Raw genomic sequence first — 26,163 nt, forward strand, 5'->3', positions numbered from 1 at the left:
TGTTGAACAAGAATATAGCGTAATTTTAGTTCTGCTGTATTAAAAGAACTAAAGTACATAATATACTTCAAAAGTACATAATATACTTTGAAGAAAATAAAATACCTTCTTCGTGAATTCTGCTAGGCTTTTTAAGTCCCTTCATTTACCTTGTGAAAGGACCTATTCTTGTTCATGCACAGTAACAGCTGATGGCAATAAAAGGTATGAGTTCTTTAGAATACTTTACGTTTAGCCAGGTTCACACATGAGGGTTGGGCTTTATGATCTTTTGGTGAAATACCAGAACATTTATTAAAGGATAGTATACTGTAGTTGAAAGATAATTAGATTAGGACCCAGGCTCAAGTTCAGTTTTAATGTTTTATCAGCTGTGTGGCTTTGGACAACTCACTTTTTTTTTTCTTTTTCTTTTTTTGAGAGTGGCCTCATGCTGTCACCCAGGCTGGAGTGCAGTGTTGCAATCATAGCTTACTGTAATGTCAAACTCCCGGGCTCAAGCTATTCTCCCACCTCAGCCTGCTGAGTAGCTAGAACTACAGAGCGCATGGGACTGTGCCCAGCTTCTTTCCTTTTCCTTTTTTTTTTTTTTTTTTGTAGAGACAGGGTCTGGCTATGTTGCCCAGCAATTCTCCCACCTAGGGCCTCCCAAAGTGCTGGAATTATAAGCATAAACCACCATGCCCAGCCTGGGCAAATAATCTAATCTCTTTTAGCATCAGCTGCTTCATCTACAAAGTGTTTGTACTAATTATTCCTCCAGACAGATACCTTAAGCTTTAAATATAAAGCAATTTTGTACTATTCCCAGGACTGATGCATAGTGACTCTCTCTTTTTCCTTCAAATCTTGATGGTTCTGGCAAAGCTTGAACTCAGCAACGTCATCGCTGAGCTATATAATAAAGAAAAGAATACCTACAAATAGGCGTGTTGAGTAAATCCATTAACGATGAAAACACATAGCCAAAAAGTGGTATACCACTTTTTCATCAGATTCCTTAAGGAGATGTTCACAGTGTAAAAGGCTTTAACTTTAGGTAGCTGACAGCAGTGGACAGTATTGCTTGCAATCAGAGATAAGCTCAGTGTGAACAAAACATCTAATGATTCGGAAGCAGAAATAGAGCAGTAAACATTATGCAGAGTATAGTGCCATGCCCCCTGTGAGCACTCAAAAAAAATAATCCATGGTGATTATGACAATGATGAACAGAACCAGGTCCCGCAATCAGTGTCTAGGGCCATTAACAAAAAGTCATGCACTTAGGAGGGGGAGGCTGCTGCCTTTGCGGCATTTACTGAGTATATTTCCACTCACTGGGTTACAGGGCAGTGATGAGAGAAATGTAGGGCTTTGAGAAGACAGGAAATGGCCTGTTTTGCGACCCAAGTAAAATGTCAACAGCCTGTCATAAAACGATTTTCAATTTCTGGCCTGCAACCTTATTTACATTTTTTTTCTTAAAGATAATTTTTTTTTCTTAGAGATACTAAATAATTTTAGGAAAAAATGTCTTCTGCAAGTTACTTTTATCAGAAAGCCAGAGCATAGTTTATTTAAGGACATAGTTTGAAAGTTGCTTTAACTATCTGAGGGAAGGCCAGGAAAGGCTCTATTTTCAAATAAGGACCTGACCAGAAGAAAGTGGGAAAAAGGCTGAATAAAGAAATCAATGGAACTAAAAGAATCAAGAGGTGCTTCTTTGCATTTTGTAATTTTTCTACAGTGAGCATATGGCAGAAACTTGTCACTTGTCACTATCTCTTCTCCCCTTCTTCCTGGATAATAGAACTCCAATTTTGTTGGAGGTTATTATCAACGTTCCAAGCTTAATGTGTAATATGTAAATATATTCACTTTCACAAATCCCTTTGCAGCTAAGGGAAGCTATGTTGCCAGTTTTGGCTAATAAGATACAGACAGACATGCCTAGCGCCAGCATCCTTCTCAAGATAAGACAGAGTCTTGTGGGAAAGGGTTACATACCTATCCCTTTCTTTCTGCCTGGAATGGGAATAGAAGGCCTGGAGAGGTGGCAGCCATCTTGCAAACATGAGCACTGTCTTAATCCATTAGGACTGCTATAACAAAATATGCCAGACTGAGCAATTTATAAACCACAGAAATGTATTGCTCACAATTCTGGAGGCTGGGAACTCTGAGATCAACCACCAGCAGACTCCATGTGTGGTGAGGACCCATTCCTCATCAATGGCACCTTCTACGAGTTCTCACATGGCAGAAGGGCAAACAGCCTCCCTCAGACCTCTTTTATAATGGCAGCAAGCCCATTTATAAGGGCAGAGCCCTCATGAGCTAATCATCTCCCAAAGGCCTCACCTGTTAATGCTATCACATTGGAGATTAAATTCAAACATAAAAATGTTGGGGGGTACACAAACATTCAAACCATAACAAGCACAAAGGCAGCAACACCCTGAGGAGGGCAGAGTAGAGAAATAAAAGGAGTTCGAATCCTTGATAATTTTGCAGAACTTCAGTGATAACAGCCCTGGACTACCTATCTCTACCCCAAAGTGCTCATGAGAAAAATTAACACTTTCTGTGTTTAAGCTACTATTCATCAGGATTTTTATAGCTCAAAGCCAAACATAATATTATGTCCAGTAAAGGCCTATTTCATTTTTGTGCTTTGCTTTATTGTGCTTCAAAGATAATGCATTATTCTTCTTTTTCTTCTTTTTTTGGAGACCAGGTCTGACTCTGTCACTCAGGCTGGATTGCAGTGGTACAATCATAGTTTACTGAAGCCTCAAACTCCTGGGCTAAGGTGATCCTCCTGACTCAGCCTCTGGACTAGCTGAAACTACAGACATGCACCACCATGCCTGGATAAATATTGCATTATTTTACAAATTGAAGGTTGGTAGCAACCCTGCGTTAAAGCAAATCTATAAATGCCATTTTTCCAACAGCATGTGCTCAATTTATGTCACATTTTGGTACTTCTAACAATATTTCAAACTTTCTTGTGATTATTATATCTGTTATGGTGATCGGTGACCAGTGATCTTCGAAGTCACTATTGTAATTGTTTCAGGGCTCCACAAATTGTGCACATATAAGACAATAAACTTAATAAATGTTGTGTGTGTTCTGACTGCTCCACCCACTGGCCATTCCACCGTCTCTCTCCCTCTCCTTGGGCTTTCCAATTCCTTAAGAAAAAACAATATCGAAATTAGGCAAATAAATAACCCTGCAACGGCCTCTAAGTGTTCAAGTGAAAGAGTCACATGCCTCTCATCTTAAATCAAAAGCTAGAAATGATTAAGCTTAGTGAGAAAGGCATGTTGAAAACAGCAATAGGCCAAAAGCTAGGCCTCTTGCACCAAATAGTTAGATATGTGAATGCAAATGAAAAGTTCTTGAAGGAAATTAAAAATACTACTCTAGTGAACACACAAATGATAAGAAAGCAAAACAGCTTTATTGCTGATTCGGAGAAAGTTTTGAGTGGTCTGAATAGATCAAACCAGCCGCAATATTCCCTTAAATCAAAGTCTAAACCTGAGCAAGACCCTAAGTCAACTTTGTGAAGGCTGAGAAAGGTAAAGAAACTGCAGAAGAAAAGTTGGAAGCTAGTGGAGGTTGTTGGTTCATGAGAGCTGAGAAAAGAGGTCACCTCCATAACATAACAGTGCAAGGTGAAGCAGCAAGTGCTGATGGAGAAGCTACTGCAGGTTATCCAGAAGATCTAGCTAAAATAATCGGTGAAAGTGACTACACTAAACAACCTATTTTCAATGTAAATGAAACAGCCTTCTATTAGAAAAAGATGCTATCTAGGACTTTCATAGCTAGAGAGAAGTTAAGGCCTGGCTTCAAAGTTTCAAGTGTCAGGCTGTCTGTCTTGGAAAAAGAAAATGTAGATGACAGCACATCTGTTTACAGCATGATTTACTCAGTATTTTCAGCCAACTGTTTTTTTTGTTTTGTTTTGTTTTCGAGATGGAATCTCACTCTGTTGTCCAGGCTGGAGTGCAGTGGTGCAATCTCCGCTCACTGCAACCTCCACCTCCCGGGTACAAGTGATACTCCTGCCTCAGCCTCCCGAGTAGCTGGGACTACAGGCATGTGCCACTACGCCTGGCTAACTTTTTGTATTTTTAGTAGAGAGAGGTTTTCACCGTGTTGACCAGGCTGGTCTTGAACTCCTGACCTCAGGTGATCCACCCTCCTCAGCCTCCCAAAGTGCTGGGATGACAGGCATGAGCCACCGCACCTGGCCTCAGCCCACTTTTGAGACCCACTGTTGAGAAAAAAGAAAAAGATTCCTACTGCTTTTGAACGATATACCTGGTCACCTAAGAGCTCTGATGGAGATGTACTAGGAAGTGAATGTTGTTTTCATGCCTGCTAATGCAGCATTCATTCTGTAGCCCACGGATCAGGAAATAAATTTAACTTTGAAGTCCTACTATTTAAGAAAAATATTTTATAAGGCTACAGCTGCAATAGACAGTAATTCCTCTGATGGATCTGAGAGGAGACAATTGAAAACCTTCTAGAAAGGATTCACCATTTTAGATACATTAAGAATTTGCATGTTTCATGGGAGTTGGTCAAAATATCAGCATAACAGCAGTTTGGAAGAAGTTGACTCCAACCCTCATGGATGACTTTGAGGAGTTCCAGACTTCAATGTAGAAATTAACTGCAGATATGGTGGAAATAGCAAGAGAGAACTAGAATTAGAAATGGAGCTTGAAGGTGTGACTGAATTGATGCAATCTCATAATAAAACTTGAATAGATGAGAAGTTACTTTTTATGAATCAGCAAAGAAAGTTTTTGCTTTGTGGTTTTTGGGGTTTTTTTAGACAGATTCTCTCTGCCACCCAGGCTGGAGCGCAGCGGCGGGATCTTGGCTTACTGCAGCCTCCACCTCCTGGGTTCAAGTAATTGATTCTCCTATCTCAGTTTCCTGGGTAGCTGGGACTACAGGCGTCTGCCACCACACCTGTCTAATTTAGTATTTTTAGTAGAGATGGGTCTTCAGCATGTTGGCCTGGCTGGTCTCGAACTCCTGACCTCAAGTGATCCACCCGCCTCAGCCTCCCAAAGTGCTGGGATTATAGGCATAAGCGACTGTGCCAGGCCAGAAAGTGGTTTCTTGAGATAAAAATAACACCTGGTGAAGATGCTGTACACACTGTTCAAATAACAGGATTTAGAATATTAGCATAACTTTATTCTAAGTTATTTAGAATAACTTAGTTGGTAAAGCGGCAGTGGGGTTTGAAAGGATGGCCTCCAGTTTTTAAAGAAATTCTGCTGTAGGTGAAATGCTGTCAGCTTTGCATGCTACACAGAAATCTTTTGTGAGAGTCCACTGATGTGACAAAGTTTATTTTTGTCCTATTTTAAGAAATTGCCACAACCACCCCAACTTTCAGCAACTCCACCCTGATCAATCAGTGGCTATCAATACTGGGGCGAGATCCTCCAAGAGCAACAAACAGATTACAACTTGTTGAAGGGTCAGATGATTGTTAGAGTTCTTTAGCAATAAAGTATTTGAAAATTAAGGTATGTACATTTTTTAAAAAACAGGATGTGATTACACATTTAATAGACGACAGTATAGTGTAAACATAACATTTATATGCCCTGGAAAACCAAAAAATTCTTGTGCCTTGCTTCATTACTATATTGGCTTATTTCAGTGGTCCAGAAACGATCCTGCAATATCTCTGAGGTATGCCTGTATAAATACAAGAGGCTTGGACCTAATTTAGGATAAGCCCTAACGGGAGCTTTTACTTTGTCAAAATTATGGTAAAAAGAGTCTGCCTAGGAGGAAAACAACAAAGTAAAGTTCAAGGACCCCAAGAATCCACCCTTCCTCATTCTACAGGTGACTCAATCTGAGGCCAAAATCTACTCACAACATATAGTGTTGCCCACTCAGGCAGATTGCCTTCAAGACCCTTGGTCTTTTAGAGTCAAAATAATTCTACCTGAACCTAACAGGTGAAAGACAATCTGAGACACCAGAGTTAGAAAATAAAGAGGCATCTGTATCAAGTGTCCAGTGGAATTAAGACTCAGTTCCTCCCTGTGGTGGAGTGCTGAGACTCAAGTTCTGCAATTCCAGTCCTAACTTGATTAAGCCTCAACCCTGCCTTATCTGCTCATCTTGCCTTGAATCTCTTCCTGGAAAAGTCTGCATTGACAGCTGGCAATCACCACTAGCCTCGATTCTGCCAGTTTCTTGGCCTGTCTAACTATCTGCCTGCTCAACCACTTAACCACTTAAACCTGGCTGTCCCTGTGTGGCTTCAAGCTCCTGTTAAGTAGGCCCAGTGTTCTCCTATCCACAGCCTTAATGTCTCTCTATCTTATCCAGCTGAATGAGAAGAAATTACAGGGGGGTCAAGGCAACACAATGCCTTCGCTGATCAATATGGAAAAGGACAAATTAAGAGCCTTTTAAAATTTAGGCAGACTTTCTGTAAACTGTGTAAAATTATCACAAGGCTTAATGCTGAAGAGCCTCAAGTAGCATTTGCAGAGTGTGTTTCTTGAAATAAATTTCAGTGATGGAATAGATTTGGGAAGCAATGTTCCATACTTTCCCCCTTGGAAGTCCACAATGAGCACTAGTGGATGAAGGTCCTTAGAAGTCCACATAGAGGAAACTACTTTATTTTTTAAAACTTTAACCCAATGCTTCATAAAAATACTTTTTTTGTATTATTTTCAAATATTCCGTGGAACACAATTTGAAAAGTGCATGAGGACAAAATTTTAAAATAATCGATGGGAAGATATCTTTTGGTTTCAAGCTGGAGTCCAGTAGACTTAACTCTACAGTATATTCAATAAATAATGTCTGAACTGGATTAAAGTAACTAGTAATAAAAATCCTGAATTTGACAAGAGACATTTGTTTCCCTAAACTTTAGACATTAAGGTTTAAGTAAAAAATATGTATTTGATTCTAGTTAGCTAAATATCACTTTTTATTGTCAATATTCAGAAGAATTCATGGTTAGAAAATCTGAATTTTAGAAGAAAAAAACACAGATTGTTAGTTTGATGTCTATGACCAATGTTCCTCTGTAACCTGGTGACACTGTTCTAATAGTAGCAAAAGTAGCTAGGAAGAAAATGTCAGCTTTTTAAAGACCAAAGCTACACATTAAATTGAAAAAAAAAAGGAATGTTATTGTACTAGTATTATTTATCAGCATATACACATGCACATAAACACATATATATGCACATACATATACATATTCATGTATACACATATCTCGATATTTGCTAGACATTTGCATACACATATAAACACTTGGGATTATTTATTTGATTTATTCTCATCATCAGGAGAGTTTTTAAATGGATGTGAAAAGAAAGCTATAGAATGAGAAGTACAAATCTGAAATACTAAATAAAACTGTCAGGAAGTTTAAGATTCATGGATTATGTATGAATCATAGGGTGGGGAAGAATTGATATTTTCAGGCCAAATGCTAATGAAAGGTGTTCTAGTACATAAAACAATTTAAAGCTATATTTATCAAACCTCTTTAATTCATGTTTATAGACATGAATTAAACTCTTCTTAGAGTTGGAGATGAGAGGACCTGAAAAATCCTTTGTCCAAACCTTCTGATTTCATGAATGATGAACCTGAGACCACAAAACACAGATGGCTTGTCCTTAGGTGAGAATGCATCGATAGCTAAGCTAAAACCAAAACCATGTTTCCTAATTGTCAGTCAGGTTTCTTTATCACCAGATAGATACAAGTTGGTGGATTTTTCAAGCTCAGAACCGCTCTCCTGTCATGCAATACATCTCATGTATTGGCATCCATCCGGGCCTTTTGTGTCACCCCTGTGGGACTGGAGAACAAGGTGAATAGACACAAATATGTTGATAAGGTTGAGTCTCATTGTCTTCTGCCAGACTGTATGAAACAGTAACATGCTAGATAACAGTTTATAACTAGGGTAAAATCAAATCCTAAGCCTGACACAGACCTCATAGAAAAACATTGGAAATTATTACCTCCTTTTTTATTTTACGTGAAACTATATGTAAGATTTGCATTCTTTCTTACTTTTTTTTTTTTTTGAAGTTGCAAGATTTAATAGAGTGAAACCAGAGCTCCAATACAAAGAGAGGGGACCCAAAGAGGGTGGCCGTTGCCAGCTCGAATGCTTGGTTTTATATCCCGATCATTGTCCCTCCCGCTGTGCTCTCAGGCAATAGATGTTTGGCTATTTCTTTACCTCCTGTTTTTGCCTAATTAGCATTTTAGTGAGCTCTCTTTACTACCTGACTGGTCGGGTGTGAGCTAAGTTGCAAGCCCCATGTTTAAAGGTGGATGTGGTCACCTTCCCAGCTAGGCTTAGGGATTCTTAGTTGGCCTAGGAAATCCAGCTTTCTTTCTTAAATGTTTGACAGAATTAGCTTTCTTTCTTAAATGTTTGATAGAATTCATAAAGCCATTTAAGACTCAAGCTTTGGCCAGTTGTGGTGGCTGACACCTGTAATCTCAGCCCTTTGGGAGGCTGAGGCAGGAGGATTGCTTGAGCCCCAGAGTTCAAGACCAGCCTGGCAACAGAGTGAGATTTCATCTCTTAAAAAAATTAGCCAGATGCGGTGGCATACTCCTGTAGTCCCAACTACTTGGGAGGTTGGGGTGGGAGGATGACTTCACTTTGGCCCAGGAGGTTGAAGCTGCAATGAGCTGAGATCATGCTATTGCAGTTCAGCACAAGCAACAGAGCAAGACCCTATCTCAAAAAAAAAAAGACTCAGGTTTTATTTGTGGAAAGACTGTAAGGATAAATTCAACTCAGTTATTATGGGGCTATTTAGATTTTCTATTGCATCAGTTTTGATAACTGGTGTTTTTCAAGGAGTTTGTCTATTTTATCTTAAATTGTCATACATATTGGCAAAAAGTTCATAATATTCCACTATTATCCTTTTAATATACATATTATTTGAACAAAAATTCCTATTTTTTCAGAAAGTTGTAGTTTTTATTTTCTTTTTGACTTTTTTGAACTTACCAATCTAGCTGTAGTTTTATCAGTTTTATTCATCTTTTCAGAGAACCAGCTTTTGGCTTTGTCAATTTTCTCCCTTGCTTGTTTTATATTTCTTATTTCCACCCTTATCTTTATTGTTTTTGTGTCTTTTTATATATTTGGGTTTAAATGCTTGCCTTTTTCTACCTTCTTAAGAAAGTAGAAATTTAGAGTGATCTTAAATCATTTTGCTTATTCAATTTTAGAATTTTTCTTTTAAGTCCTGCTTTAGCAATATCCCTCAAATTTTCATAGGCTGTATTTTTGTTATAATTACACACAAATTAAGTTTTTATTTAATTGTAATTGTTTTCTTTGACCCATCTGATATTTAAAAGGCAGTTCTTTACTTTTCAAATGTCTTGGCTTTTCTAAATAGCTTGTGTTATTAATTTCTAATTTAAGTCTGTTATCAGTTAACATAGTTTATAATATCAAGACGTTTGTATGTTTTATTTTCCAACATATGGTTTATCCTGGAGGTTGTACGATATGCCTTGATAAAAGGTGTTCATATTTCCATTGGACTGGTCTGTATCTGTCATTAGTTCCACCAGCTTTTACTTTAGGTATTTTTGTATTAACGTAGTACGTCTTTAGGTTTAACTTTCAGGGCAGCCGTATGAAGAATGATGTCATACTTACTTTTGATTTCTTACCCAGTGTTGCCAGTCTAACACACCTTCTTAGCCTTTCTGCATACATAAATAATTAAGGTTTTGTTCTGGTTCTGAAGCACTGTGAAAGAATAAACTCTTCATCAACAAGCTCTCAGGATGTCATTATTTCCTGAGAACGTAAACTCTGTGCACTAAAGCTATTTTGCACAAAATCTACTTCTAATTAAGCAAGATAAGGAGAGAAGGTATTGTGTAAAAAATAACTAACAATCAGGATGTCACAGGCGTCTGCCAAAAATCAGAATGGATGCTGTTAAATATCTTGAAGTAATATGTGGTGGAACATGTTGATTGGCCACTCAATAACCATTCCCTCTTTTGTGTTTACTAAAAGAATCCTATTTCTGTTTTTTTTAAAAGGACCCTCATTTTATTTTTATTAGCGATGCAACAAAAACCAAAACAAAAACCCACACCTATTTCTCCGGCTCTGTTTCAGCAAAGGCTACCCATATATGGTTTGGTCAATGAAATTAGCTGAACTCTGCCAGGAATTCCTGTGCTGATTTGTCTCCCTGACATGGGCACCTGCCCTCCCACCTCATAACTTTCTTATTCTTCCTGACTGGAATAGAGAAAGGAGATTAGTGATGAAGAATAACACCTGGCAACCAGGAAGTCATCATGAGGAGGACGGAGCAAAAGATGAATTACGTCTAGGATGTTGACGACCTCATGAAGCCACTATACCAATCTCACTGACCTATATCCAGACTTTGTATGTGAGAAAAAGAAACCCCTACATGGTTAAGCCAACAAAGTTATGTCTCTGTTATAGTCAGCAGAACATAATCTCTAACTAATACCAAAAAAGAAAGGAAATTCATGACTCTATCAGAAGCCAAATTCAAACTTCTGCGTGAGTTACATTTGTCCGTTTTCCCCTCTTCTAGAATAGCTTCTCTGAAGAATACTTTTTAAAGGTTACTATGTTATCATGCAAAGAATTCAGTGCGGACTCTCCCCCATTATGCAGCATTTTGGTAATCAGAAATCATCTGAGTAGTGTTTCCCTTTCTTTGAAATAGCACTACTTTTTCTAAAATGAGACATTAAGTCCAGGCTATCCTGAAGAACATTGTTGACTGCCCTTTTGTAAAACAATTCAACTTCTTACATAGTTTGAAAGACATTCCCAAGGCGAAATTTCTACAAAATTATTTTCATATCTGGAATCTCTGCAAATATGTTTTCTGTAACTGCCTTGGCCTTTTCTGTCTGAGCTAAAGTTATGCTTAACACTTTTCTTAAGGAGAGTTTTAAATTTGCAGCGCTAATCCCTTTCACATTAGCACGCAACCTCAGCATCAAGTTCTAACATGCATGTGCTGAGGAATTAATCAAAACCTTTTATAATCAAGCTGTCACATAAATGTCTACTGATGCAAACTTCCACATGTAAGATAGACAGTAATTCCAGCATTTAGGATATGGCTCTGGATGCCCTAGTGCAGCATTAATAAATAAAAGAATGGGCTATTTTTCAGCTTTGCTAATCTAAATTAGAATATTTTGCAAAGGTGAGTGATTATCCCTGAAGGACTATAAAACGTGTCTGTGTACGTGCACACACACACACACACACACACACACACACACACCCCTCCCTTAGCATTTTCCAATTGCTTCATGAATGAAACCAGTGGAACAGAAAAAAAACTAAGTGTCAGTATTTAGCAAGTAAGCAAAAAGTCTTGAATTTTAAACGCTGCATAGGTTTAGAACAGATAAACCGTTCAAGTCTAATAGATAAAAAATTCAAAATAGAACCTATTGTGGCTTAATCAGTAGTTCAAAGTCGTTACAGGCCAATAATAATTAGATCAAAAATGCCAAGGAATCGTTGTTGAGGCTTAATGGTTAAACTATGAACCCCATCTGCATAAGATGAACAATTTCTAAATATCGTTCTTACCTTTTTTAAAAAATGGATTCCAAGACATCTACACATTTTATACATCTGAGTTTTTCTGCTGATTTTGGTGGTTGACTAAAACTTTGGGCCAGAAGTGAGTGATCTTTTATTTGGCTGCTGAAACTGACTTTCTGTTCCATAGGAATATAAATCCATTTTAGTGCATTATAACTACTGTGTTCTCATTAAGACATTATACAATAGACTGGATTCAGTCACCCCCTGAAAGTTGTACTTGTGCTGTTACATAGGTAGGGACAAATATACATATAGCTGACAAGTTATCTCCCAAGTGTGTAAATATGATTGAGAAGGCTAGAGTGTGCCCAACTGTCTTAAACAAGCTCACGATATTTATATCTGACCTTTAGTTAATGATATAACCTGCTTCTATATGGTCTGTCAAGCTCAGGATTGAGTATTTTGCTTAAACTTTGCACACCTTTGATTACTTCATGCTAGCAAAGTCCATCTGTTGCTGTCATTGCACAGCTATCAATTTCAGTGTTACCTTGCTTCAACTCATGCCTTAAAACAATCAAGCTGACTTGGAACGTCCACAGAGTAGATAATGTGGCATAAAGACATCATTCAAGCATTTCTGTTTTTTAAAACTCCAGGTCCATTCTTAGGCACAAGACTTTTTCTGTTCCCGCTTCTGCTTTGTGGCAGCCAGGACTTAACTTAGTGTCTGTTCTACCTCTCAGCTGCCACCTCCTGCTCTGTCCCTTGCTTCCATTTCTCCAAATGGCTTGCTGTCCCTAAAAACAGGCACGCAGGTTGTTTATTCTTAAGAGTTTTCCAGCTATTCATGATGTGAACTGGCGATCACTAAAAATAGCAACAATGAATCTGCATGCAAAATGATTTCAAAACTCTTGGTCCTTGGTCTAAAATAATAGTCTCTGCCTGTGATGAAATCTAGTAATATTTCTGTTCTCAGTTTTTGTTTCTTGAGAGGAATTCCTTACTAAACACTTCCTCCACATTCAGACTCTATCAATGCAGATAATAGTGGCCCCTTTGCCTCAAGTAGAAATTCTGATTATTAAAGAATAATTAGGCCAGGCACAGTGGCTCATAATCCCAGCACTTTGAGAGGCTGAGAGAGGATTGCCTGAGCCCAGAAGTTTGAGATCAGCCTCAAAAACACAGTGAGACCCCATCCACAGTTTTTTTTCAATTAGCCAGGCATTGTGGCATGTAGCATCAGCTACTCAGGAGGCTGATCATAGTTCAATGCAGCTTCAAACTCTCTGGCTCAAGCAATCCTCCCACCTCAGGACTGAGGTGAGGTGAGCCTGAGAGTTTGAGACTGTATTGAACTACAATTGTGTCGCTGCACTCCAGCCTGGGTGACAGAGCAAGGCCCTGTCTCAAAATAAAAATAAAAACAATTTTTTAATTTCTTAAAATTTTTTTGAAAAGAATGATTAGCTTGATATTTCTTCTCCCTGGAACAAATGCAGTCCTCATTAGCAATCTAATTTTTACAGTAATCGCCTTCTGGAATCTCATCCTTGTTTGTCTTTCAATTTGCCCATCAAAACATAGCTTATGTTGACATAGTTATTTTGATTTTTTGCATTAATAATCTGACAGGAATTTGGGGGGAAACTGTCTTCCAAAATGGTTGGCAATCAAAACAACATCAAATGAGGCCAATATACAAAAGTGCTAATGTTCTTAATCCCTTCCAAAACACCCAAATACTATGAATTTAAAAATTCTGCTGTGAAGCTTTAAAGTTCACTATCTTATGATGAATTACAGAAAATATTTAACTGACTAAACCAGCTTCCTCTGGAGAATACCATAACACAGGCTTGGCATCCCTCCTTTTCACCCTTGCTAATTGAATACCTGATAATTAGTTGAAGTGGGGCCTTTTTAAGTTTGATAAATGAAACTTTAAAAAGCAGATAATCTACATCTTAAAAAAGCTCTTCCAGAAAAAGAAAAGAGGCCTGCAATGCTGGCTCACGCCTGTAATCCCAGCACCCTGGGAGGCCAAGGCAGGCGGATCACCTGAGGTCAGGAGTTTGAGACCAGCCTGGCCAACATGGTGAAACCTCGTCTCTATTAAAAATACAAAAAATTAGCCGGGCATGGTGGCAGGTGCCTGTAATCCCAGCTACTCAGGAGGCTGAGGCAGGAGAATCACTTGAATCCAGGAGGTGGAGGTTGCAGTGAACTGAGATTGCGCCATTGCACTCCGGCCTGGGCAACAAGAGTGAAACTTCATCTCAAAAAAAAAAAAAAAAACCAGAAAAAAAAAAAGAGATTGTACCTGTCACTTTATATAACTAGTACCCTGATATTAAAATTGGATAAGGACGATATAAAAGAAAAAGAAAAATAGTTCACTTCTAAACAGATGGGAAAATACTAAATAAAATATTAGCCAAATAAATTCAAAATGTATTAAGAATAATACAGTGTGAATAGATAGGGTTTATTCTAGGAATGCTAGAAACATTTCCTGATCAAAGCTCTATCATGTAATTCATTATAGTAGTAGGCTAAAGGAGAACAATTAATTATCTCAGTAGACGTAGATAAAGCATTTAATACAATTTTACTCTTATTTAATACAAAACAAAAGAAAAACTAGGAAAACTGGGAGCAAATGAGACGTCCTTTACTTGGCTTATGATCTGTTTCTATCCACAGAATACTTTTGGCACCAAATGTGTGGGGTTTGTTCCCACACATTGTGTGATTCTCCAGACACCAACTGGGAGTTCAACAATTCAATTCCATTTTGACACTAACTACCTAGAGTTAGAGCAGATCCCACAGTTTAAGGGCTCAGTCCCTCAAGACTGCCCCCAACTCCAGAAGCCAGTTGCAAGTCCCAGGCCTCCTGTACTTTCTGATGGCTATACGTTAAGCATTCCCATGACCTCCTCCTAACGTTTGATAGCTTTCTAGAAGGGCTCACAGAACTCAGGAAGGCAGGTAACTCACATTTACTGGTTTATTATAAAGGGCACAGCTCAGAGTAAGGTACTTGGGGAGGGGTGCAGAGAGGCTTCACACACTCTCCTGACACCACTCCCTCAGGGCCTGGATGTGTTCACCAGTCCAGAAGCTCATCAAATCTCTGTTGTTCAAGAGTTTTCATGGAGCCTAATCTCATTTCCATGACCCTTTCCAAAGGTCAGTGGGTGAGGCCAAAGGTTCTAGCCCTCTAACCCTCACCTTAGTCTTTCTGGTGACCAGCCCCAACCCGAGGCTACTTGGGGACTCATCCTAAGTCACTTAGAACAATTTATAGTAAACAAAAAGTATTTGATTTTTTAAGAAAAAGAAAAAAAAGTTTGTGCTTACCGAAGAAATTTTGAACTCAACAAGACAAAGATACCGTATATCTCAACTACAGTTCAACATACTACTGAAGGCCCTGGCCAACAAAGCAAGACAAAGAAAATAATTACTGACCTTAAGAATTGGACGGCTGGGCACTGTGGCTTATGCCTATAATTCCAGCACTCTGGAGGCCAAAGCGGGTGGAACACCTGAGGTCAGGCGTTCAAGACCAGCCTGGCCAACATGGTGAAATGCTGTCTTTACTAAAAATACAAAAATTAGCCCACTGTGGTGGTGCGCGCCTGTAATTCCAGCTACTAGGGAGGCTGAGGCAGGAGAATCACTTGAACCTGGGAGGAGGAGGTTGCAGTGAGCCGAGATGGCGCCATTGCACTCCAGCCTGGGTGACAGAGTGAGACCCTGCTTCAAAAAAAAAGGAATTGGAAAGGAAAAGATGAGACTGCCATTGTTTGTAGACGCTAAGATGATCTCTACATAGAAAATCCAAAAGAAAGACCAAATTAGTGTATCTAATAAAAGAGTTAAGTAAAATTTCTAGATACAAGATAAACTTTAAAAATTAATAGTATTTTTCCACACCACTAGTCTCAAAATATTAGTTCCTCTAAAAATTAATACATAAAACTTTTAGGCTTGGCATGGTGGCTCATACCTATAATTCTAGTGCTTTGTGAGACTGAGGCAGGAAGATCATGTGAAGCCAGGAGTTTGAGACCAGCCTGGGCAACATCTCAAGATCCTGTCTCTACAAAAATAATAATAATAATAAATAAAATAAAATAAAAATAAAACTTTGAAAAATATATAATCCTTATTTTTAAAAAGCAAGCCAGCCTGGGCATGGTAGCTCATGCTTGTAATCCCAGCACTTTGGGAAGCCAAGTTGAGTGGATCACTTGAGGTCAGGAGTTCAAGACCAGCCTGGCCAACATGGTAAAACTCTGTCTCTATAAAAATACAAAAATTAGCTGGATGTGGTGGCGAGTGCCTGTAATCCCAGCTATTCCAAGGCTAAGGAAGGAGAATCACTTGAATCTGGGAGGCAGAGGTTGCAGTGAGCTGAGATTGCACCACTGCACTCCAGCCTGGGTGACAGAGTAAGACTCTGTCTCAAAAAGAAAAAAAAATTAAAAAGCAAGCCAACTCATTTTATGAGCCTATTATGACCCTGATATTTATTTATTTATTTATTAGCTACAATTATCTACTTCACATGCAATATAATGCAGAGGCTAAGAGTAAAACTACCTTTGCAAAAATTATAACAGTGAGAAAAATCTAATCTAACTGACTCCATCTTGCTTCTAACCTCAGAAGCTAATTGCTCTCACTCATTTCTGGGTGTAGGCCAAGGTAACTATGGAAGAAATGTAGTTTACAGTTTAACTTTGAAGCAAGGATGATAATAGTCCCTCCCAAAACTGACCCCCTCTGGGGACAGAAACTGCCTTTGGAAGAACACTGAAAGGCTACAGGGTTAGGGTTATGGGAGGGACCTGAATTCTGCAAAGATGTGGGCATATTTAAATAAAAAGCAGTTATTGCTCCCTAGCTTGCTTTTCTATAATTCCTTACTGTTCAGGAGTCATGTAGCTAGATGTCACTAGGTTTGTAACTTCTCCAATTGTTCCTATAGATAACATTACTATAGATTGGTTTTTGAGATATTTTTCAGACTTTTACATTCAGTCAGACCAAGTGATGCCACCTGGACCCATGATTCATACCAAGAAACTGACTCAGCACAAGAAGACAATTTGGATGCTCTGATGATTTCATCCCCAACCAATCAGCAGCACCCATTCCCTAGCCCCTTGCCTACCAAATTATCCTTAAAAACCCTAGGCTCCAAGTTGTTGGTGAGGCAAATATGAGAAACATCTCCCATCCTTCTGCTCAACTGCCTTGCAGTAATTAAACTCTTTCTCTGCTGTAACACTGCTGTCTCAATACATTGGCTTTATCTGCACAGCGGGCAAGAAGAAACCATTGGGGGTGTAACAAGGACAAGATTGCCTAGACTCAAATCTTGGTTGTGTCATTATCTGTATGAATTTAGGCAAGTTACGTATCCCTTCTCAGCCTCAGCTTTCTCATCTGTAAAATGAGAACAATAATAATACTTATCACTTTGGGATGCTGCAAGGATTAAGTGAATCATACTTGAAAAGCACTTAAATATTCATAGTACAAAGTCAGTGCCTCATAAATATTATATATTATTATAAGTATAGAGCTAGGTTATTAATCCATTAGGAACTACTTGCCTTAAAATTAAAATATTTTTAAAAATAAAAAAAATTTAAATATACAGAAATGCTAATATGTTTTTCTCTTCCCCAATTGAGTGTTCACATTTCACACTGCAATCAAGTGCCTTACACAATAAAAAAAATTAAAAATACAATAGAAAATAATATGCCACTGAATATATCAATCTATGAAATAACTAGGAATTAAGCCAATAAAGAAAGCACCACCTTCACAGAGAGACTTATAAAATTAATAAACTTAATCCAATGAGACCTTAATAAAAGAAGACACATTAACATTGTAAAGCTATTAATTTTTTCTTAAACTTACCTATAAATTTAATGTATTTATAATTAAAATCTCAGATGAATTTCAGGAGGAATATGAAACTGATTCTAAATATAACCTGGAAGTTTAAACACTCATAGAAAGCTAATATAATTTTGAAAAGAAAGACTAAAAGTGGGAACTCACTTTCCAAGATATGAAGACATATTATAATACCACCGTAATAAAAATAGTATTGACGTGGGGCAAGAACAGATAGACCAACAAAACTAAAGAGGAAGAACAGACATATATAACTGTGAATTCTGCATATAACGATGGCATCATAGATAAAAGACCTAAATGTAAACATAAAAGTTTTAATCAAAGTTTTTTAGGTTTCCTGCATAAGAAACCATTCCAAAGTCTCAGTGGCTTCCAAAAATAAACTTTTTTTTTTTTTGAGATGGAGTCTTATTTATTTATTTATTTATTTATTTATTTATTTATTTATTTGAGTCAGAGTCTCAAGTCTCACTCTGTTGCCCAGGGTGGAGTGCAGTGGCTCGATCTCGGCTCACTGCAACCTCTGCCTCCTGGGTTCAAGTGATTCTCCTGCCTCAGGCTCCTGAGTAGCTGGAATTACAGGTACCCACCACCACGCCCAGCTAATTTTTGTATTTTTAGTAGAGACAGTGTTTCACCAGATTAGCCAGGCTGGTCTCGAATTCCTGACCTCAAGTGATCCACCCTCCTGGGCTTCCCAAAGTTCTGGGATTACAGGCATGAGCCACCATGCCTGGCCTAAAAATAAACATTTTATTTCTCACTCACAAATTTATGATCAGATAAAAGAACTCACATTCAATTGACTAAGGTAGTCAAATGGCCTGACAACGGTGTGGTGAAGTCTTATCCTCTAGAGAAAGACACATCAATGATAGCATTAATAAAACTGCTGTGAGGAAGCAAGTGAATACTGGAAACAATGATCAATTTAGCATAATAAAACTATAAAGTTTATTAAAACTGTGCATGAGGACATTTTTATGACATTGGTATAACCTTGGATTTGGGGGAAAGAACAAATCACGGTATAAAATGTTGATAAATCTGAATAAATCAAAAGTAAAAATGTATGTTCAGATAGAAAAAAATAGCTAATATATGATGGAGGAGGAAAATAAATTAGCATTATACAAGAGGTTATTTTCTAGAGTACGACAAAAACCCATATGATTCAGTAGCTTATATACTTGAAGAGAGCGGGTATTATTATTACTATTATTTTCTGTATTGATGGCTATTTTAGCTCCAGTGCTACGATAAGTGCCTGGCAATATTGTTACTCCTCACTGTTAAACCTCCTTACTGTGTATCCTGTTTCAGGATTTGCTTCTGATCTATTCCTCTCTAAACCAGATATATTAGTTTCCTATTGCTGCTGTAACAAATTATCACAAATTCAGTGGGTTACAACACAACAGATTTTTTCTCTTACTGTCCTGGAGGTCAAAAACTCAACATCAGCCTCACTGGCCTGGAGTCAAAGAATCAGTAGGGCTAGTTCCCTCTGGAGTCAACGGGGGGAGAATCGGTTTCCTTGCCCTTTCTGGCTTGCCGAGGTCATCAGTGTTCCCTGGACGATGGCCTCTTCACCCTTCTTCAAAGGCATCAGCATAGCATCACCACCCGCCTTCACTAACTCTGCCTCTGTCTTCGGTCAGCTTTTCTGTCTTTGACCCTCCTGCCTGCCTTTTATGAGGACGCTTGTGATTACGTTGAGCCCACCAGGACAATGCAGGATAATCCCCCACCTCAAAATCTGTAATTGAATCACACATGCAGAGTCCTTGTGTCATGCGAGGAAACATATTTATAGGTTCCAGAAATTAGGACTTGAACACTTTTTGGAGGCCCCTATTCTGTCTACCACCCCAGGGTTTCTCAAACTTGGCACAATTGACGTGTTTGCCTGGATCATTCCTTGTTACGGTGGCTTGTCCTCTGCGTTGTAAGATATTTAGCAGCGTCCTGCTGTGTGCTCCTTAGAGCACATCCCCTTCCCCTAGTTGTGACCAAATGTCACCTGAGGGGCAATATTGCCTCTGGCTGAGACCCATTGCTTTATCCTGTTCTAGTGATCTTTTTAAAAAGCAAATCCAGTCATGTCACTTTCCTGCATAGAATTGTGTGTTGCCTATTATTTTCAAAACAATATTCACATTTCTTAATATATCATAATAGATTACTCACAGTCGGGCTTTGCTCATTTCTCTTGGTTATTTCTCTGTCTTGCTGATTTTTCTGACTGCCCTCTCTTTCCATCTTCTTGTCCTCCATATATTCTTGCATTTCCCCTGAATGTGAGGTTCCCTCACACCTCCTGGCTTTGTAAATATCTCTTCCTCCATCCACCTAGAAAACACCTTCTATTCTTCATCTGATGAACTTTTACTTACTTCTCTTTAGGAGCCAGCTTAGATGTCTGAGAATCTAGGTCACTTTCTCATGTACACTCTGAGCACGTTACCTCAATTAGAGAGCTAGTGTTTATTTCCTCTTTTCCCTGCACTAGTCTGTGAGTTGTTTAGATCTCTGACCATTATCTGTCTTGAAGGGTTTAACCCTCTTCCTGGAACATATTAGTTGTACAATAATCGTTTTTGGAATGATGGAGTAAATGGTGGATTTCATGCCTCAACTTGAATACACTCTCTGGTGGCTGAAACTGAGGAAGAATGTTGCTCCAAAATATTAACGGGTGATAACTTGCTTTTCTATTTTAAAATAGAAAAATTAATTCTCCCATTCTCTTGCATGGAAAGAACCACTCAAACGGAAATTATTTTGTATTTAGTCACTATTTAGTTATTATTTTTTCCAAAATTAAGGCTCATGCTCAGAAGCTATTTTTCTTAATATGTTTGAGTTTTTAAAAATTGGAAAAAATATCTCTTCCACCAAGAATTTGGCAAAAGAAAGCTAGAATTAAACACCGCAATAATAAATTTCACAACACTATGAAAAGGCTAGGTATGTCAGAGCTCTTTCCTGTATCAGGAAGGCATGGTTGATTTTGCAATTTAGGTTTTTACTTTGCAGGCAGAAAACTGTCACCTGGGCACTTCCAGCCTTCACTATGTAACAAAAAAACTGATTTGCAAAGTCCCAACATTTGGCGTACGCTCCAAACAATAAAAGTGTCAAAATGGTTTCTGTTGCTGTGCATTTTATTATTCTTCTGATAGTTGAATGTTAAAGTTTCTCTTAATGTTTAGAAACTGGAGACTCTTTAGTAAATACCACCGAAAACACCTGCATATAATGCTTGCTAATGAGGTTTCCTCACTTCAAAGCTCAAATTAAGAGGGTGCTGAGAGAGGATGGATGCTCTCTCTGTACCTTTTAAATATATTCAGGTAATTTATGTAAAGCACCAAAATTAAAGACATTTCCCCCATGCTATACTTTTATCACTCCAGTTAAAAATCTGCCCACAGACACTGTAAGAATGATATAAACAAAGTTTTGCTATCTAAAATATGTCAAAACATAATATGCTAAAATAAGACTTTTGGATTGTGGTTAGTTCCCATATAAGGCTGACTAAAATGTTTTCTTTTCCTTTAAAACACTTTTCTTAAGGTTGTTACTAAACATATTTGGTTGAGTGCCAGTGTCACATAATTGATGCTGCTGAAAATATTTGGTTAAGACTACAGCTTGCCTGGTTGAATCCTAACTCTGCAACCTTGAGAAAGTGGCTTCACCGCTCTATGCCTCAGAGCTTTGATTTGTAAAATGAGGGTAACAATAATAGTTCCAACCTCAGAAGGCTACTGTGAGGACTAAGAGCCAATATTTGGGCCATGTGGCATGACTCATGCCTATAATCCCAGGACTTTGGCAGGCCAAGGCGGGAGGATCACTTGAGGCCAGGAGTTCAAGACCAGCCTGGGCAATATAGCAAGACCCTATCTCTAAAATATATATATATTTTAAATTAGCAAGGCATGGTGGCGAGTGCCTTTAGTCCCAGCAGTTCAGGAAGCTGAGGCAGGAGGATCACTTGAGCCCAGGAGTTCAAGGCTGCAGTGAAATATGATTGCGTCACTGCACTTCAGCCTAGGTGGCAAAGTGAGACCCTGTCTCTAAAAGAATAAAAATAAATTAAAAAGAGTCAATATTTGCAAAACACTCCAAACCTTTCCTGGTACATGAAAGCACAAAGTAAGCATCTGGGATTATTATTAGAGAAAATAGAGGAATTTTGTACTAAGGACTCTTCAAAGTGTTAAGAACTCAGCATTGTGCAGGGAACTCTACCCACCTACTATCAGCAACTGTGAGTTCCATCTATTCCTTAATAACAGTAAGCAAATAAGGGACCCAAACCACAGCTCTTCATAGCCTAAAATGCAGCCCTGGATTTTGGTTAGTAAATGTATTAAATACTTCTGTACTAAATCTGGGTTTCAAATTCAGTAAGAAGTTTTGTGAATTTGTGGGTTTGGGATCCCTACACTTGCTGAAAAATTTCATTGGCTGCATATTATCCCAGGAAAATGAGTTCTATTTTCCTTGATTTGTGTTCTTGACAACATAGTACCTAGGAATTTTTGCAGTGTCATCTACCATTACTTACCTACCTGACACTTCTGCTTTAATCACTGTGCCCAAAGTACATCACGTATTTTTCCATATTCCCCTTGCTTAGAATTCCCTTAATTGACTTTTCTACTTCCCTAGGGCCCCCACTTCTGATGGGAACCCTCTTAGCTTCCATCTCTTCTCTGATCATATTTGTTAGATTACATTGCTTCTGAGTGATCGGTTCCTTCAATGAATTCTCCTAGTATCTGTATCATTTTTTGTACATAGCATGAGATCTCTTTTCCTTTTATTACATTTTTTTAATGCCTGTATCTCTAACCATATTGTAATGTCTTTGTGTACAAAGACTCCTCTATGTCACGATGTACCTCAGGGCCTGGCTCTGTGCCCTGGACAAAGCAAGCATGAAGTACATTTTTTTATTAATAAAATCATTGGAAGTAAAATTTATATTATTTTTAGCTCCCATCCATCTCCTTTTGGCAAACTGTTACCCCTTTCAATGCTTTTTCCACTAGTATTATGTATTTATGTGCTGTATATTGCCTATTTGAGGTCTTGAAGAAAGCTATCTTTCCCAGTGTTTTGGAAATTTTTATTTCATCAACACTTACCTGTGTTGTTAGTGAAAAAGTACTGATCCAGGAGCAAAAAAATGTAGGTTATCTTAATAACGACTAACCCGAAATGAAACTGCTTCTTCATCTGTAAAATACTAAAGCTAATATCCTCCCTGACTACTATACAGGTTATCGTGAAGACAAATACATACAAAATACAGTCATGTGTTGTGTGACAATAGTTTGATAAACAATGGACCGCATACACTACGGTGGTCCCATAAGATTGTAATGGAGCTATTGCCTAGTGATGTCATCGTAGCTATCCTAACATCATAGTGTAATGCATTACTCATGTTTGTGGTGATAAACAAACCTACTGCACTGCTGTCCTATAAATAATTATGTACAGTACATAATATTTGATAATAATTGGCTGGTATAAACAAACTTACTGCACTGCTGTCATATAAACAATTATGTACAGTACATAATATTCTATAATAATTGACTATGTTCCTGCTTTTTATATACAATATACTGTGCATTTTATGATTATTTTAGAGTTTACCCCTTGTCCTTATTAAAAAAAGAAAAAAAGGTTAACCATGAAACAGTCTCAGGCAAGCCCTTCAGGAGGTATTCCGGAAGGCATTGCTGTAAGAGATGACAGCTCCATGCATGTCGTTGCCCCTGAAGACCTTCCAGGGGACAAGATGTGGAGGTGGAAGACAGTGATATTGATGATCCTGACCCTGTGTAGGCCTAGGCTAATGTGTGTGTTTGTGTCTTCATTTTTTCAAAAAGTTTAAAAGTAAAAAAAAATAAATTTTAAAATAGAAGTTATAGAATAACGATATAAAGAAAATAGTTTTGTACAGCTGTACAATGTGGTTATGTTTTAAGCTAAGTGTTATTACAAAAGAGTCAAAAAGTTTAAAAAGTTTATAAAGTAAAAAAGTTACAGTAAGCTAAGGTTAATTTATTACTGAAGAAAGAAAAATACTTTTTATAAATGTAGTGTAGCCTAAGTGTACTGTGTTTATAAAGTCTCCAGTTGTGTATAGCAATATCCTAGGCCTTCCCACTCACCCACCACTCACTCACTGACTCACCCAGAGCAACTTCCAGTCCTCTAAGCTCCATTCATAAAAAGTGTCCTATGGAGGTGTACCATTTTAAAATCTTTTATACTGTATTTTTACTGTACCTTTTCTATGTTTAGATATGTTAAGAAACACAAATATGGCCGGGCACGGTGGCTCAAGCCTGTAATCCCAGCACTTTGAGAGGCCGAGGCGGGTGGATCATGAGGTCAGTAGATTGAGACCATCCTGGCTAACACGGTGAAAACCCATCTCTACTAATAATACAAAAAAATTAGCCAGGCGTGGTGGCGGGCGCCTGTAGTCCCAGCTACTTGGGTGGCTGAGGCAGGAGAATGGCGTGAACCTGGGAGGTGGAGGTTGCAGTGAGCTGAGATCACACCACTGCACTCCAGCCTGGGCAACAGAGCAAGACTCCGTCTCAAAAAAAAAAAAAAAAAGAAACACAAATACTTACCATTGTGTTATAATTGCTTACAGTATTCAATACAGTAACATGCTGTACAGGTTTAGTAGCCTAGGAGTAATAGTCTATACCACATAGCCTAGCTGTGCAGTAGGCTGTCCCATCTATGTTTGTAAAAGTGCACTCCATGATGTTCACACAATGTCAAAACTGCCTAATGACAAATTTCTCAGAATGCATCCCATCACTGAGTGACGCATGACTGTAATGTACACAAATGACTGCACATACGGTTGGTCTAATGCCCTCGGGAATACATCAAGATTACTGGCTTGTTGCTCTAATTACTGACATGTCACAGGTTAACGTAATGTATTACTAATTTTCCATAACATTTATTTTAGAAGAGACCCTTGAAAACATCAAATCTCAATTCAAAAGAATGATATTAAAGGCCCCTGGGAACAGATAGTCCAATTTTTCAACCTTAAGTTAATAATAATAATTCAATTAAACAAATATTTGTTGAATATCTATTATATACAAAAAAAGCATCCTGGCTGCTATGGAAAGTATAAAGATGAGATCTCTTCTGTCTTTAAGGAATGAGGGTCTAGTCTAGAAGACCAAAATGTACAAAATGTACACAAATTACTTTACCACAAGGTAAGTTTGGTAAGTTCTTTGGAAGAACTAACTTCAGAAGATATGAGGTTAATTCTGACTGTATCAATAAGGGTTTTAGAGGATATCCATACAACTGGGGCTTAAAAGTTGGGAGAACTTGGCCAGGCACGGTGGCTCACACCTGTAACCCCAGCACTTTGGGCGGCTGAGGTGGGCGGATCATGAGGTCAAGAGATCGAGATCATGAAGGCCAACATGGTGAAACCGTCTCTACTAAAAATACAAAAATTAGCTGGGCATGGTGGTGCGTGCCTGTAGTCCCAGCTACTCGGGAGGCTGAGGCAGGAGAATTGCTTGAACCCGGGAGGCAGAGGTTGCAGTGCATGTTGGTGCATGCCTGTAGTCCCAGCTACTCGGGAGGCTGAGGCAGGAGAACTGCCTGAACCTAGGAGATGGAGGTTGCAGTGAGCCGAGATTGCACCACTGCACTCCAGCCTGGGTGACAGAGTGAGACTCCATGTCAAAAAAAAAAAAAAAAAAAAAAAAAAATTGGGAGAACTTCAGTAAACTGGGAAAAAGAGGAGGTATTAAAAACGTGAGAATAGGCCGGGCACGGTGGTTCATGCCTGTAATCCCACCCAGCACTTTGGGAGGTTGAGGTGGGCGGATCACCTAAGGTCAAAAGTTTGAGACAAGCCTAGCCAACATGGCAAAACCTGGTCTCTACTAAAAATACAAAAATTAGCTGGGGGTGGTGTTGGGTGCCTGTAATCCCAGCTACTCGGGAGGCTGAGGCAGGAGAATTGCTTGAACCCAGGAGGTGGGGGTTACAGTGAGCTGAGATCACGCCACTGCACTCCAGCCTGGGAGACAGAGCTAGACTCTGTCTTGGAAAAAAGAAAAGGTGAGAATAATAGCATGAGCCAAAAAACAAAAGGTACAAAATATATTCTGGGAATAAGTACAATTTATCTTAATTTCGTAGAGTATTCATAGTTTTCAAAGTGCTTTCACATAAGCTATGTTGTGTATGGAAATTAGAGCAATCATATGCAGGTGTATAGAAAAAGTATTATTTATTGTCCATATGAAGAAAGTGAGTTTTGGAAAAGATAAATGACATATATATATATGGTTATCAAATAGCACAATTTAATAGATTTAGCAAATTTACTGAAATTAGTAAATTGGACTTAAGAAGAAATTGTGAAGGTTCCTCTGGTAAGAGTGCACAAGAGAAAATTCAAGGAGGATAGCAGTTAGCAGGATCCTGACATAGTCCAGCTGAAATGTAGCAAGGGTCTGCACTAGGGTAGGCTTGCT

The 26,163-nt window shown here is 38.4% G+C and overlaps 1 long non-coding RNA gene across 2 annotated transcripts in view; it reads right to left on the minus strand.

Moving 5' to 3' along the window:
- Positions 1–20,014, minus strand: part of LOC105377557 (uncharacterized) — an 88,225-nt gene extending 68,211 nt beyond the window's left edge. For both annotated transcript variants that reach the window (XR_001741925.2, XR_007058380.1), the window contains exon 1: positions 19,781–20,014. This is a non-coding gene — a long non-coding RNA (uncharacterized LOC105377557). The remainder of the gene's footprint in view (positions 1–19,780) is intronic.
- Positions 20,015–26,163: the final 6,149 nt, after the last annotated feature.

Source organism: Homo sapiens, chromosome 4, assembly GCF_000001405.40.
Source record: "Homo sapiens chromosome 4, GRCh38.p14 Primary Assembly".
Classification (NCBI taxonomy): domain Eukaryota; kingdom Metazoa; phylum Chordata; class Mammalia; order Primates; family Hominidae; genus Homo; species Homo sapiens.